Source organism: Homo sapiens, chromosome 1, assembly GCF_000001405.40.
Source record: "Homo sapiens chromosome 1, GRCh38.p14 Primary Assembly".
Lineage (NCBI taxonomy): Eukaryota > Metazoa > Chordata > Mammalia > Primates > Hominidae > Homo > Homo sapiens.
Window position 1 is genome coordinate 177,019,380 of NC_000001.11, and position 16,497 is coordinate 177,035,876.

The window sequence follows — 16,497 nt, forward strand, 5'->3', positions numbered from 1 at the left end:
CTGGAAGGGCACACAGTAGGCTTTCTGAAATTGTCAATGCAATGAACCTAATTTACATGCATGCTGAATTACCAGACAGCCAAATGATAAAAACATAAATTGTTATAGAATGAGAACTGTTAGAAGAGGTCACAGTGCTCAGCAGAAGATTGGGAATGGCAGGCATACCTTGGGGTACCAGCCTACCATTTCTCAAGTGCATCCAAGTTCAAATTGGAAAGCCTTTGGGCACTTGATGATCTTAAGAACAGTTGCTAGTGCTGAGTATATCCCATGCATTGGGCTGAGTGCTCTAGGTATATTACATCCCTCCCAGGTAGCATGTTGCTAGAATAGAAATACAGAGGGAGGCTGGAATGAAAAACAGATCAGCAAGTATTCTCCAGCTCCAGTTCTTCCATAGATTCCTGATACATCTTTGAAAAGTCTATAAATTGCACAAGGAGGATATAAAGAGGGAGCAAAACAATGCTTTTTCTTTCTATTTTTGTATTGTCTTTTTATTCTATTTATTTATTTATTTGAGACAGGGTCTCATTCTGTCACTGTGGCTGGAGTGCAATGGTGCAATCTCGGCTCACTGCAGCCTCGACCTCCCAGACTCAGGCAATCCTTTTGCCTCAGCCTCCTGAGTAGCTAGAACTACAGGTGTTGCACCACCATGCCTGTTTAATTTTTTGTATTTTTATTAGAGATGGGGTTTATGCCATGTTGTCCAGGCTGATCTTGAATTCCTGGGCTCAAGCAATCTGCCTCCCTTAGCCTCCCAAAGTGCTGGGATTATAGGTGTGAGCTGCCACGCCTGGCCTATCTTTTCTCTCCTTCCTTAGTGTATAAGTTTTCTATTCCTACAGTAAAAGCATACCACAAAGAAAGTGGTTTAAAACAACATACATTTATTATCTTACCAGAAGTTTAACATGAGTTTCACTGGGCTAAAATCAAGGCGTCTATAGAGCTATGTTGCCTTCTGGAGGCACCCGGGAGAATCTATTTTCTGTGTTCTTGCCTTTTCCAGCTTCTAGAGGCTGCTGACATTCCTTGGCTCATGCCTCCTTCCTCCATATTCAAAGTCTGTAATGGCTGCTTGAGTCCTCCTCACATCACCTCACTCTGACCTCCTTTTCTGCCTCCCTATTTCACTTCTAAGAATGCTTGTGATTACATTTTGACCACTCAGATAATCTTCCCCCCAAATCTCCCTGTTTTAAAGCCAGTTGTTTAGCAACCTCCATTCCATATGCATCACTAATTCTCCTTTGCCATGTAACGTGACACATTCACAGGTCCTGGAGATGAGAATGTGGACATTTTTGGGAGTGCATTATTGTGTCTCTCACACCTGGTGTTCTGAAGCATGGTGCAGGTGACAGGTAAACAGAGACTCACTTGGGGATGCTCTTAGGAAGGATGCCTGAGGAGAGCTCTGGCACCAGGAGGCTGCTCCTTTGCAGTGACTGAGCATCTGTGTTTGTGTGTTTGTGTGTGTGTGTGTGTAAAAGTACACAAGTGCACTGCACAGCTCCATGCATCCATATGGGCAGACCCCTCAGTATGGCTGGGAAAGCACATGTCCCAACACTATGACATTTCCAAGTAAGCTAGCTAGAGGATTTCAAAAATAACGTCGACTTGACTTGAAGCCAATTCCCACACTCAGCTCTTTGGAGAAAGGCTCTGGGATAGAGTGTGGGAGGCGATAAAGTTTCTTACTGATGAGCATGTGGGATGACCACATCACCAATGCTTTCCAATTCCAGCATTCATGAAAATGAGAGTCTTTGCAGTATTGTTTCTCAGCTGCTATCCAAAATGAAGATGCTGCACCTTAGTTTTGTCTTGGGGTTTGGGAGATTATTTTTAGTCTTCCTCTGTGTCTTTCCAATAGGAAATTCATTCATGGTCACAGACATTGAGAAGCTATTAGCAGGGGAGGGGCTTCCCAAAGTCATTTTCAGCAGGGATTAGAAATGAGACATCTGGAAGGGACTGAAGAGTTGATGGGAGAGCTTTGCTGTAGACAAGCAGCTTCCTGGCACATGGAACAGTAATGCTTAGTAATGGTTGTTTTTTAAATAGTTTTGAATGACAACTATGTTGGATCTGACATGTCTGGGGAAATTAAGCAACCTTTATAATCCCACCTTTGCAGATTTCATGATAAATAAAACACAGACTCTGCTTTAGGTAGCTGTGGGACTTTGGGCAAATCGTGTAACTTCTTAAGGAATTCAAATGTGAATGTAAAGCATAGAGGCAGTTTATCATTGAGACCCCTCCAAGCCTAAAGCACCAATCCCTTCTTTTCACATGTAACTGAAGGTGTGCTTCCTTTTCTTTAAAATCCAAGTAGGAGCATCCAAAGCTCCCCCCGGGGATCAAGCTTCTCTCAGAAGTGAGTTTAACAACTGAGATTGTCCCAAATCCTTCCAATCCAAGCCAGCTGGAGAACTAGGGTACCAGAGACTAGCTCAGTTGCATGGAGAGCCCCCACCTCTGAGATTAGCTCTTTTTAATTTCTCCCAAGCATACTAGCTTTTGGGCATGGTACACAGCCCATCTGTTTGGTTTGGTGTTTGCCTGACAGCGTGGGAGGAGCAGCAAGTAAGCACAGTCTTAGACTTCAGATGTTTAAAATGTTGTACTTTCTCCTCCATATGGGGGCCTAGAATCTCTGTGATGGGCCCACATAAAACAACTTTAACACCTAAGATGGTGAATTTTAGATGTTTCAGTTACCTGCTACTCTCCCAGAGGGATCTAGTCATAGATTATAACAGAAGTAAGGGCTAGATATCTTAGACTCATCCTCTATTAAGATCTCTCTACCTCAGCACCTGAAGAAGATGCGAGTGTGGTGGGCTGGGGTAGAGGGGGTTGGCGGGGGGTGGCTGCACATGCTGTACAAAAAGCTTCAGGGTTTGGGCCCCAACTCCAGCAACGTTTAGCTTGGGAATCTTAGATATCACTTTAACGCTTTCCTTTGCTCTAAGGGATCATACTACTTTGGGAAGGATCTATTTGTGGTACTCAATTTACCAAAAACAAGCCATCATAGAGACTACTGTAGGTGAATGTCTTCTTCAGTGAAAGTGCAAAGCAAACTGAAATAAGAGATCCATGCTCCTGGCTTTGTTGGAACCCAAGGAGCAATGGGAGAGCTCTAATTCATGCCACACTAGAATTTGAACCCTCCCTCAGGGAAACCCCAGCTCCATTTGATAGTATAACAGACTTGAAGACGTTCCTACTCTTTGACCCAGTACTCTCTCACTAAGATTTATCTGAAGAAAATAACTTCAAATGTGTCCAGCATTTATGTGTAAAGATGTTCATTTTAATAGTATTTATAAAAATAAAAATTTAAAGCATCCTAAATGTCAAATAATAGGGGACTGTTTAAATGAGCTATGATATAGACATACAACGGAATACCAAATGGCCATTAAAATTATGTGTTTGAGGATTATTTAATGATTCTGGAAAAGTTATGATGGAATGTTAAGTGAAAAAAGCAGGAGAACTCTACTAGACTTAGTATGCTTCTAGGAAGCCCTTAAAAATCATGCATAGTAAAGAGACTGGAAGGGAGGACATTAAAATTTTAAAAGTGACTTATCCAGGAGATAGAAATATTGATGATTATCATTTTCTTCTATAAACTTTTCTAATTTTTAAAAAGTTTTCTACAATAAACATGCATTAATTTTATCATCATAAAATGTCTAGCCCCAGTATTTAAATATCCCCTGACTATGGGATAAATGGGTTATGGAAGTCATCCTAAAACTGAGTTTTCTGGCTTGGGACTACAGTTAGTATCCTTCCAAGTCTTCTGCCAGAAAATGACCACAGTTTTAGCCAATAAGCTCTGCGGCCCAACCACATGCAGGCAGTCCGCATGGTCTAGGCTCGAGATGGCAGTGGGACGGGGAGTTGGGAGGCATGGTCTGAATTTCAAGGGAGTGATTGCAAGAGGCATGATCTCTCTGACAGTTACCCGCTGCCCGGTGCTCCCGCCTACCAGTTTCGGGGTCACATTGGTGTTCACAGGGGTCCAGGAGCCGCCGGGCACAGAGGTCCATGGCCCAGGGTCCGCTGGAGTTCTGCTGAGAGAAGAGAACCACTTGGGCAGGGTTCAGCCAGTCACTGGCATCCAGCTGGCTCCCCTCCAGCAAGATGAAGCGGCTCCCTGCAGGGTGAGAGAAAGGAAGCATGCCTATATGTGCAACACAGCACACGTCCACAAGCCACCGAAGACAAGGAAATCCCAACCTGAGAATTAGTACCAATCAGAGATCCTAACTCTCACCATTCCTAGCCCATCATTAGCCCCAGAGCAAGGGATCAGCAGACAGAGGCTGGGCCATCACTTGGACCTCTGTGAGGCCAGACATTGAACTCTCCAGCAATGGAGTCCCCTGCTGCCTTGCTCCATTCCGTCTTTCCAGGGAGTTCCTAAGGAACACAGGGACAGAGGAGCCCTGTGATGGCCATGGCATGGCTCCATCAGACCCAGCCACAGGCACTGGCACTCCTCCAAAGAACAGGGGCTGCTGCCTGTCTTCACGTGCTATGAGAATTGCAGGCCCTCTAACACTGCGTGAACAGTCCCCACCTGTTTCCAGCCTTACAGCAACTCAGAGAACAGACATTAACAAGTCAATTAGGTGCTCTGGGCTTAAATGATTCAGGGACTCTCAGAACCTATATTACTCCCTCATTATATTGGGGTCCCCCTGGATGAAAGTAAATTATTACTTCTGAGTTCTAGGCTTACAGCAAGTTACTGCAATTAGGAATTTCTCACCCAGGCATACAAAACCAAAGCATGGCTAATTCTTAAACACCTCTACTACTCCACTTAGCTTTTTCCTTTTCAAAGGCTAAGGGAGTCTTGGTGCCTTCCTTCCTCTAGCCAGTGGGCTGTGCATTTCTCTCAAAGACAGAGACGTATTAAAAACAAACAAAAATGGGAGATGGCATAGAGAAGAAGAGGTGATCACTTTAGTTTATTTTTTAACCTGTGTTCTAAGTTCATCTATGGGCAATACAATTGTATCCTCATCCTTACTTATTTCAGTTTGGTTTTCCCCCGGTAGAGTAATAGGTAACAGTGACTCCTGTCTTCTCTAGCCTTTGCCCAACCAGAAAACTTTCCTTTTTGGGGGGCAAGGTCGCATCCTCAGAAGAACAGGCTCACCATCAGCAATCAGGTGCTCAGGGACATGCAGGGTGATCTTGACAACGAGAGGGCAGTTGACGTGAGAGGAGCACACGAGGCCAATCACACAGCTGGTGATGCTGATCAGGGTCAAGGTGGTCTTATTCACAGGACTTCGGGGAGAACCCACTGAAAGTGAGACAAAAGCAAGATACATGGTGGTAAAAAGCTTGGCATTGAGAGTCCAACTTGGCTTTTTGCCAATCATCCTGGCAAACAGGGGAGACAGTTGGCAAAACTAGCCCATGGAGGGAACTGTCTCTGGCTGCATGACCTCAGTGACCTTCTTCCTCACAGACACCATGCCATCAGTTGGAGTCAGAGGGGACTTGGCCAACTGGTGGCCCTCCAGGTCAATAATAGTCTGTTGGCCATTTTCACTCTTCCTGGGCCAAGTTCACAGGAGAAATCATAGAGGGGGCATTCTCTTCCCTAGTCGCCTTACTAAGCTCCAGGCTTTTGCCAAGGGTGGGCGGGATGCTTTAATCCCACACTATACCTCCCATCGCTCTTCACAGAGGGCATTCTGCACAGAGCAACTCCACCCCCATAGTGCACACTGCTGCTCCAGGAGGAACTTCCTGAGCTGGAAGAGCTTGTGCTTACTCTATGGGCAAGACTCCTACCAAGTGACTCTTACTCTGTGGGACCTGGAATGAGGAAAATGAGGAATGTCTGCTCTGTATGAGCAGACAACATTGTCACACCAGGATGCTCTCCACAGTCCTGGAATCATTGGAGGAAATAATCATTGCTGAGGATTAAGAAACACTCCTGGGGAGGTGGAAATAGGGATAGGGAGGGAAGAGTGTTTTGTTTCTTTATTTTTTTTGTACCATTGTTATTTTTTTTTAATTTTTTGTTTCTTGGCTTTTTTTTTTCCTGTTGGGGAGAAGACGAAATGCCATTAAGCAGGGGAGCCTTATGCTTATGGAAGCAGAACAGATGTGGGAAAGTAAGAAAGCAAGACGACAGAATGTGTGGGTCTTTTGGAATTTTCTTCTGCTCTGTGTTAATACTTATTATTGATAGCAATAAAAGGTTTCCATTAAGGCAGACACTGTGCTGAGTTTTTTTACGTACCTTATTTTATTTTTAATATTTGCTTTCTTACAATAAGCCTATGAGTCTGTATGGGAACCACCCACTTTACAGATAAGGAAAATAGATCTGTAAGAGTTGACGCTCCTTGTGGCAATTAACACTTATGAAGTGATGATTGTGTGTCAGGCTCCAGTGCTCAGGGTTTGATGTGGCTCGCATCATTGACTAGTGTCCCCAGTCTTAGGAGGCAGCTCCCCTGGAGGAATAGAGGGTTAGAGAGGCTGGAGAGCATGCCTAGTCCCAGGAAACTACTAAGGTGTGGAGCCAGATAAAAATGCAGATCCAGGTGAGGTTTCAGGACACAGGAACAATGCACTACTCAGTCTTTGGGCCCAGTGGTGCCTTTGGAACTGATGTCCTCAGGAACACAGGGATGAGTTTTTGGTTTATGGATATACTTGTCCTTTAGGGGAGCAGTTTCCTCTGGGTGCATGTGTTGGCAGTAGCTGGAAAGGAGAGACTTGAGGGCAGAAGGTAGTCTCTGGGTCCTCTGTCCTTGATAGATGGAAATATTCTGTGCATGTTACTATCCTTTCATAATACAGTCTATTTTCCTACGCTTACAGGTTTCCAGCCCAGCCCAGGCCTCAGATGCAGATCCACCTTCTCTCAAAACCTCACTACCTCCTCTCACCACCTTCTCTCAAACCCTGCTCCTCCAACTACTTCCATTGCCCAGCCAATGGCACTGCCACACATTTGGTTGCTCAAATTTAAAAACTCCATTATATCCAACTCTTTTCTCTTGCTTACAAGCCACACCCCCACCCTGCCCTCACCAATGCCATTAAATCTTTGTCTCTTTAGGGTATGTTCCCAGCAGTGGGATTGCTGGGTCATATGGCAGCTGTATTTTTAGTCTTCTGAGGGACTTCCAGACTGTTCTTCATAGTGGTTGTACCAATTTACATTCCCACCGCAGTGTACAAGGGTTCCCTTTTCTCCACATCCTCACCAGTGTTTGTGATTGCCTGTCTTTGGATAAAAGCCATTTTAACTGGGGTTAGATGATATCTCATTGTAGTTTTGATTTGCGTTTCTCTCATTTTGTGTCCAAAACTTATCTGGCCTCCATTCTTTCCATCCCTCCCTACCCATATCATCTTATATCTAAACTGAAGCAGAAGCCATCCACCTGTTCCCCTGCCTCAAGCTCACCCTGCTGTCACCTATCCTGCATGTTGTCCCTGGGAGGATCCTTCATGGAGCAGAGCAGACCAGGATGTTGCTCTTTTGTCAGGTCCAAGGCCCTTGGAATCAAGCTCATGTACTTTCTGGCTTCTGCTGATCTTCTAACATTATTTCCTAAGAAAACCACAAACCTGCACCCTAAGCTCTATTCTAGTAAACATTTTACTGCTCCCTGACAAGACCATCATAGTTTATGTCTCAGTGACTTTGCACAGATTATTTCCTCCTCCACAGAAGGCCATTTTGTCACCTTGTCAGCCTGGTATACACCTACTCTTCAAGTCTCAGCTCAAACAACATCTCCCTGTAAACACTTCCCTGAAACCTCCAAGAACAGATTCTCACTGATTCCTTGGTGTTCTAGCCCTTGGTGCTATAAGGTGTGATAAGAGCTGTTAGAGCTCTTATCACATAGAATCATCACTGTTTACAGGCAATTGCCACTGCTCTCATGTGATTTCAATGACTTGCTACGGATATTCCTGACTCTATGGTCTTTCTGCATCATCGACCCATAATCCAGCATCTCTACCTGGTTTCAGAACCTCCAATGGTTCCTTACACCCCACTGAGGCAAGCAGAAACTCAGTCACATGGCATGTGCATGGTCCTTTGTTAGCCATTTTCCAGCCTCATCCTTACCATCTCGTGTGCGTATATATTTATAACTTGATGACAGCTGCCATATTGAACGACTTTTACTTCCTTTAAAACACCATGTTCTTTTGTCCCTTCAAGGCTTTTTATGTGCCATTTTCCTTTACTGAAATGCCCTTATCCTAGACTTCTTCTCCTCTTTTGAGAAACCCAGTACAGTGTGTGTGTGTGTGTGTGTGTGTGTGTGTGTGTGTGTGTGTGTGTGTGTATGTGTATATATACATATATATAAAACCTAGTTCTAATTACTTTCTCCTTTTTTGCCTCCCATTGCTTTCAGGTAGGATTAACTGTCCTCTCTTCTGAGTACTCTCTTCACTTTATTTATATTATTAAATTAAGCCTTATCACTGGGCCATATTTTCATGTTTCTACCACCTATCACAAACCTGACCCACAGCAGGTGGGTTATAAAATGTTTTTGCTGCACTGATGGATATATCCAATCCAATTCAACAAACACTTACAAGCATCTGTTACAGGAAAAATCCTTCACTAGGCACTTTGGAAAAATAAATTAGGCATTCCCCACCCCTAAGAAGCTTACAGTCTGGTTAATAGCGTAAAAAGTTGATGCATTAGGAGACCTTGGTATTTAAAAGGAACAGTTTCATGCTGTCGAGAAACTAATTCATTACCATGGATTTTTCTGAAACAAGACTTTATTAAAGCAGGACACACCCTGCTTTGATTAGGCCTGGATTAGCTGGGCCTAGGTTGGGTATCCACTGTCTAAAATTTGTAATAAGTATCAAGGGAGATTGGGAGACCCTAATCCACATTCTCGCCTCACAGAACCTGGCCATTCAATATTAGAATACCCAGAGCCACAATGATCTCTTGAGAAAAATGATGGAAAAACTTTTATTATACTGATAGTAGTTAAGCCTATAGAAACTGGAATTTATAATCAAAAGGGCTTCTTCAAATCTCTGGGAAGAACACCTGTTATGAAGGGAATTCAAGTGGAGGTACGAGAGAATAAAAATGTATATGTCTTTCAGGAGACACTGGTTGACTATTGGTTGAGGAAATTGTTATGGAATGTATTACAAGGAGATGCCACTCAAATATCCTCTACTGTATCTTACAGGGACGCTGCCTAAAATTCTTTAAGATGGGGCACTGTATAAATATGGGGCTGCATGATGGAGAGTTCTAACAGCAACAATAGGGATTTCATAGTGCTTTAGCAATCTCCAAAAAGGCACATTTTAATATAATTTAATCCTGATAAAGCTCTATGTTCTACGCACAAGGTATTGTTAACTCATTTGACATGTGAGTAAACTGAAGGTCAGAGAACTTGTTGTTCTTATCCAGTACCACACAGCAAATAACTGGTAAAGCTGACCGGCGCTTGTGCTCCGAACTCCGCTGGTGTGGTGGTGATACAAGTGAAGTCAGAGGCAGTGGGAGCTGTGGCCGGAATAGCCACAGTTGAAGCCACTGATCATGACAGTGAAGTGGCACACAGTGGCTGCGTGGAAGGACAGCTCTGTCCACGTGGAGGAGAATGGATTAGCCACCTTAACCCTGCCAGGGGAAAGGAAGGAACTGGGAGGCTCGGGGTCCTGTGATTCTACCAGGCAGGGGCTTAAAGGTCAAAGACAATTACACAGATTTTCAGGCCATAGATCATTCCTCAACTACACTGCCCCCAATCCTTGCCTAGCTCAAACCCAAGGCCAATGTGGTAGAGGAAGCAGGGGTACATATAGTATCCATCTTTTCACATACAACACACTTTATTAACTTTGTTTGTCTGAACAGCAAAATATGACTCCTGAGTCTTCCAGAAGAAATTGAGAGTCATCTGACCAAGAAATAGCCTTTCAAACAATTTGGAAACTTGTTTGAGAGTGCCATTATCTGGGAGAGATGATTCTCTGAAATTTTCCACTCTAGGCTCTTCTTTCTTCCTTAGGAGGAAACACCAGTTGTGGTCCAAAAATTCTTCTTGCAGAAACTGGTTTTGTTCCATAGAGCCCACAACCCAACCCAACACCTCTTCGCCTTCCCCCGCCTCCCTCACTCCCAGATCCTTTACCACCTTCTGCCACCTCTATCATTCCTACCTCTACTACGCCTCCTGCTCCTTGAAGGATCCGTGTAAAAGGTCAGCTGGGGGTCGTTTTCTGCCTCTGTGCCAGAATCCCCTTCAGGGTTCAAGAAGGCGGAACCAGCTGTAATGAAAGCAGCATGGTCAAGAAAGCGTTTTCAGTTCTGGTTTCATGACACCAAACCTTTGGGCAAGTTCAATGGGAAAATCAACAAAAATGAAAGTAAGCTGACTGATAATCTGGGAGAAATAGCCAAGGGGGTTGGGGCTTCCTCATACACGGATATGTTGGAGAAGTAGACCATTGGGACAGCAATCACTGGAGCTCTACCCTGCCCCACCCACTTCCCTCTGACTAGGGCCATTTCTGGCACCTATCTGCCAGAGAGGACCTCCAGGGAAAGTGGGTGGAATAGGAAGAAAGGGAAATTTCCCTCATTACAGGTTATGATTCTGTTAATATGAGACTATCTAAGAGGTATAGGAAATTACATCTTTGTGTTTTTTCTGGCTCTAGAATTATATATATTTAATACAAAAAAGACAGAATAGAATAAAGGAAATGCACAAAACTATGTAAAGGGAACAATTCTAATGCCCTCTAAATCCTTTAAATCAGAGATAAACTCTGCTAACATTTCATGTGTATACTCTCTGGCTTTTACTGACACAGAAACAGGTAAAGGTTTTTTAATCTCTCTTTAAAAATGACATTATGCTGTATCTTCTATTTTATAACTTCATTTTTTTTCCCATTTAATAGATGGGTGGGCAACTTTCCATATTAACAAATATAGATCTATATTGTTTCAAATGGCTGCATGGTAAGTGCTGGACAGCAGACAGATGTGCTAGGTAGTTAACCAATTCCCTGTTGATGGACATTTAAGCTATTTCCAATTTTTCACTTGTTTAAACAATGCTGTGATGAACGGCCTTTTACACACTTCTTTGCACACTTGTCCAATTATTTCCTAAGAATAGACTCTTGTTGGTGAAATTACTTGGTCAAAAGGTTTGCACATTTACATTTTTTTGGTAAGTAGCATTTAACTGGCCTCCAGAAAGGCTGTGCCAGGGCATACCCTCTCCAGCCACGCATGAGAGAATGGGTAGAAGATATTAATGGCCCTGCCTCTACCAATATGAAGGAATCCACCCACGAGCCCTAATGTCAGACATGCATACCTCTTGCTTTGTTGTTGATCCGCTTTCTCTGGCTGCTGGAGGTGTGAGAGAGAAGGGTGGCTTGCTGGTGGTTGGAGTCCACAGGGCTAGTGGCTATAATATTATCTTTATACTTGTTCATCAGTGACAGCTTGGCATTGTCACTTCCTGTATAAGGAAAAGACGAGGCAAAAACTTTAAGAGAAAAGACCAAAAGAAAGGGAGAAGAAGGAAATCTGCATAAACCAAGAAGATAAGGTCTCACAGAATTGAAATAAGACACCAGCAAACTGAGAGACTGGCTGCAAGAAACTGAAATACTCCTTTTTTATTTCTGAGGGACTGCAAAGTTATGGGAGAAGCAGTGAAGTCAGGGAACTACAACTGAAAATCCAATTCAACTATTATTATATTATGTATTATAATATTCTGTATTGATAAGGTCAGCACTTGTAACCCTTTGGCTAAATACAGACTGCAGATTTCTTTATTTTTGGTCAGCACAGAGTTTTAAAAGAATTTGAATTTGTGTGCATTCAGGCAGAACATGCCCCTTCTCTTTCATCACAGTCTGCGCCATTCTGTATTGTCTGACCTCTTCTCTGCTTCAAATATCTGTGTTATCTGTTGGCCTCCTAAAGGCATTTGAGTTGATAATAACCCCTGAGTACCATATGTCTACTTTGTGGGCTTAGCACTACACCAGGTGTTATGGTCAATATGAAGAGATGTTGATGATATGTCCCCCATATTCTCAAGGAATTTTCAGGCTTTAAATCTCATTAGAAATTGGCTCTTCATGTAGAATGTCTTGTAGAGAACAAGCAGAATAAAAACCTCTATGTGATTCCACTTTTTCAAGCCCCACTGAAAGTCTATATATAGTAAGCAACATTCAGCATCAAACATGTCTTCCTCAAAGATAATTGGGCAGTTCTTTGAAGGATCACTGTCAAGGGTTTATCTATGGAGATTTGCTGATTCATAGAAGTTTTAAAGAGAAATAGGCAGATTACTGTAAAGGAAGAGTGCAGTCTTTCTCTCTCTGCAGTTTTTGACCCTAATCTTGTTCATCTGGATTAGTTCTTCCAGTCAGTGTCTCCATAGATACACAATGCATCTGGGGTCTGATACCATGATTGCAATCCTTCATTTTCTTTGAAGAAGTGCATCCCTTGTAGAGAGCACAGAGGCATGAGCAAGATAAACATAAAGAAAACACCCCAGGCCCAATTCTCAGGAGTCATAGGAAAAAGCAGATACCACTGTCCCCTCCGCTTCAATGGAGAATTAAATTGCCTAAGCAAGTATAAAATATACAAGAAGTCATATACACATGTTCATTTTTCTTGCTATCTCATTTCCCAGAGGGTTGCTCATTACATACTAAAATGGCTCTAACTCACTCCTCTGTTGAACGTTAAAGTATGTTGCTTCCAGTGCCTGGTGGAAGTGAAAGAAGATCCAATTTACACGGTTCTTCTGGTTTTCTAGATTAGAAAACAGCTCCCATCATCTCAGGAAACAGGTTATTCTTGCCTATCTAGGGAAGGGCACTGCCACATCACACTATGTAGGACAACCAGCTGTTGTCACACAGCTGTTCCTACCCACTCCCCAGCTCCTTGAGATGAAGGACCAAACAGCCCCTTGCCTTTCTCCCATCCCCACCTGGTGTGAGGTCCATCCCCGACTTTTCATTGCAGCCCTGCAGGGAGTCGAGGGTGCGCGTGACCTGGCTGGCAAAGTCCTCCCCTCCGTTCATGCACTCCCTCTGCAGATGGTGGCGCAGATCAGTGATGTCATACTCATAGCCGTCCAGGATAGGTGTCTCCCGGATGCTCAGGGTGCCACTGGAGTTGTGGCCCTGCACGCGGGCATTGCGCAGGCTCTCCCGTCCGTGCCCGCCGATCAGCACAGAAGGAATGTAGTGAATCTCATTGGCTGCCTCAGCACTGGCACTCTTCTGGGGCTGCGGGACCCGGCGGCGTTTGCACCAGCGCCGGCGAGTATACAGGATCATCACCAGGCACAAGATGGACAGCAGCAGAGCGATCATGCCACCCTAGGAAGAGAGGACCACAGATGGATGTGGGAAGATGGGTAGGCTCTTCCCACAAAGAGTCACTGCTCCTTCTGCTACCACCATTCATCACTTATTTATGCATTCATTCATTCAGCTGTATTAAGCATTTACAGCAAGCATCATTCAGCAGCAAAGGGAAATTCTACTGTGACTGGTATTTAGGGTGAGAGAAAAATGGAGCTGGGATGACCAGTGCATCATTTCAAGTGATCCAGTTGCTTCGGGCTTAGCAAACAATTTGAAGAAACAAGTCTGTGTGTGTGTGTGTGTGTGTGTGTGTGTGTGTGCGTGATTTCAGCTGCAAAAACAGGGGAGAGCTTTTATGTATTAAGTTAAATCTGCCACACATAACGCTGGTTTCAGGACTTTATTTTTTTTAGCAATATGGGGTGACATCTGGTTTCTTCCTGTCTCACGTCTAAACATCAATCATAGATTCTAACAGTGGTTCCACCAATTATCAGTGGGTCCTATAAATTCTAAACCTCGGATACGTCATCTGTATAATGGAGAAGACACCACTTAACCACCCAGGGTGGTTGTAAGAATTAGGTTAGCTAACTATGTAAAGTGCCTAGCATAATATATCTCACACAATCAAAGCTGTTCTCAGCATAACCTTAAATGTCTCCATCTGAATAACTGGCCCAGCAGGAAAAACCATTGACAAATCTGAATAGAAATTTACATCCATCAGGAATTTACCACCAAGTGTGGGGAGGAATCTCATCATCTGAACATGACTTTTGGGTCACAGCTTTCCCTTAACCACACAGTCCTGAGTGATGTTCCGTCTTCTTACTAAAGCTCAGGGGAAGGGATTGAAACCCAAGTCCTGGAGTCAGGCTGGTGGAGGAGTTACCTTCTGGTGCTCAAAGGCCAACACCTCGAAGGTCATTCCTTACAAATCAGGACACCACTCTGTCGACTGCCAGAGGTGAGGATGCAGAACTCAGTGAGACTGAACACATGGCCTTGACATCACCGGGGCAGCATTTAGAGGGACAGCCTTTAAGCTTGGTGCTGCATGGCACTCGGTGGGCATAAATCTTCCCGTGCACAATCTCTATTCACTCCCTTTATTTTGGTCAATATCTTTCCAAACCTATTTCATTAGGCCAGCATGTGCCAAATGGTTCTTCTCTCAACCTTAGGCTTCAATCATACCTCCCTATCAAATAAGCTAGAGATAAAAATCCGCTACTAATTCCCAGAGGGCCCACCCACATAAAGCTAGGTCAAGAGTATGCCTCCAAATACATTAAAGGGGGCTTTTCCAGTCTCATAATAATTATACCTTGGATTTATAAAATTTCTTTCCCTGAAAATCTTCCTATTTATCCTCCCCCTCTCACCATCGCTGTGAGCAAAGGAACACACACACACACACACACACACACACACACACACACACTGCCACTTTCAAGCAGGCAGCACAGAGGAGCAGAGACACGAGGCAACAGAGTCAGCTGCCAAGTGACAGCCTATATCATGTGGCTTGTTGGGGACAGATGTATGCTGACCTCCTGGTTTTCAATTATTTCTTTTTTTGCAGAACCCTTTCTCCTGGTGCAAGCTCTTATGCAAGTATAGAGAAAGAATAAACATGCTCAGGTTCCATTATGGGTATGAGTCCAAAGCCAAGTATTCTAGGTCCTTGCTAACTGCCACCTCCACTCCCATCCATCCTGGCAGCCCTGCAGACACACACACAGAGCTCCTGGGACCCCCCAGAACACTGCCTAGAAGACACAGTGCCTCCACAGTGCATGACTAAGCCCTGTACCACTCATTGACAGCGAGTATTTGTGTCCAACCTGACATTTTTTTTTAGCAGAACCTGTATCTCAGAGTCAGTGCTATCTTTTCCTTCACCCCAAATTGAAACTGCAACAATAGGTAATTAAGCCACACAGAAGGAATAACTTCCCAACTGAGAGAAGTTGTCAGACATTGAATTAAGCTAGTGAAAACGAGAGGTAATTTTATTCCCTAAGGAGCTGTAAGAGTAGCGTAAGCATCAATCTCTAAGGAATGGCTTAAACACTATGTTTTTTGCTCATGTAGGGTTTTTTAGGAGCTCCTTCCACTGTTCCTCTCTAATTCTCCTTTCAGATGATCACAACAGGGTTATGATGAGGTCTGAGGCATAGACTCATTCCCTATATTATGCAGTAATAAAACAAGATTAGCTGTCCATTATCATGCTTTTACCATGTACCAGATACTTGTTCAAAAGGTTCCTCACTTTTAACTCAATTCCCCATTTTACATTTGAAAAAGATGAGGCGCAGAGGTTAAATAACTTGCCCAACGTCACACAGCAAATGAGGAGTGGGACTGGAATGAGACCACAACTCTTATTTCACAGCCTATATTCTTAAGCACTAGCCTGCAGTCACCCAGAATGAGCATTGCTCACTGGAGAGACATCTACACCCTGGCATCTATCTTGCACAACATAAGAGGACAGAATAGGAGAGTATGGATGAATACATCCAGACCCATTGTCAGTTCTGGAAGAAAAAAAGAGTAACTATTCAAATACTCAAATTTCAAATATTCAAAATGCACATCTAGCTGACAGTGGGTCAAAGGAGGAGCTATCATAAACAAACGACCTTTAGTAAGCACCTACTAAGCATCCAAATCCAAGATTAGTTGGTAGTAAAAAGACGATACTCACATTTCAAGTTATCTGTGTTTAAACAGGACTATTTGTGTCACTACATGCCTGAGAGATACCATTAGGCCTTCAACTGAGCTGAATTTAGATGAGAAATGTGTACTTTCTTTCAACTTAGGGACCCATTGCATATCTATCTCTAGGTTCAGCCCCTTCCTTTTCTGATGAAAAAACCAAGGCTCAGAGAAACTACAGAACTAGACAGTGCAGAACTGGCTCTAGTCCCAGATCTTCCTTCACTGCTCTTCTCACAGGCCATTTTGGTAAGTTCATCCAAAATTCTCTTAACCATGTGTGGAGCCTAGACACTCAATTAAGAA

The 16,497-nt window shown here is 43.6% G+C and overlaps 1 protein-coding gene and 1 non-coding gene across 8 annotated transcripts in view; both read right to left on the minus strand.

The window, feature by feature from the left end:
• Positions 1-16,497, minus strand: part of ASTN1 (astrotactin 1) — a 307,392-nt gene that overhangs the window by 162,059 nt on the left and 128,836 nt on the right. For 4 of the 7 annotated variants that reach the window (XR_921796.4, NM_001286164.2, NM_004319.3 and 1 more), the window contains exons 3-7: positions 13,077-13,470; positions 11,427-11,573; positions 10,255-10,362; positions 5,204-5,353; positions 4,025-4,192 (exon numbers count right to left, since the gene is read on the minus strand). Coding sequence is in view for 5 of the 7 variants with exons in the window: in NM_001286164.2 (NP_001273093.1) it covers positions 4,025-4,192; positions 5,204-5,353; positions 10,255-10,362; positions 11,427-11,573; positions 13,077-13,470 (967 nt within the window). In the remaining 2 variants the exon portion in view is untranslated. Of the gene's footprint in view, positions 1-4,000; positions 4,193-5,203; positions 5,354-10,254; positions 10,363-11,426; positions 11,574-13,076; positions 13,471-16,497 lie in introns of all 7 variants that reach the window. The other 3 variants (XR_001737193.3, XM_017001341.3, NM_001364856.2) reach the window with 1 other exon arrangement.
• MIR488 (microRNA 488) lies at positions 9,984-10,066 on the minus strand. The gene has a single exon (NR_030163.1). It is a non-coding gene; the product is annotated as a microRNA 488 (primary transcript).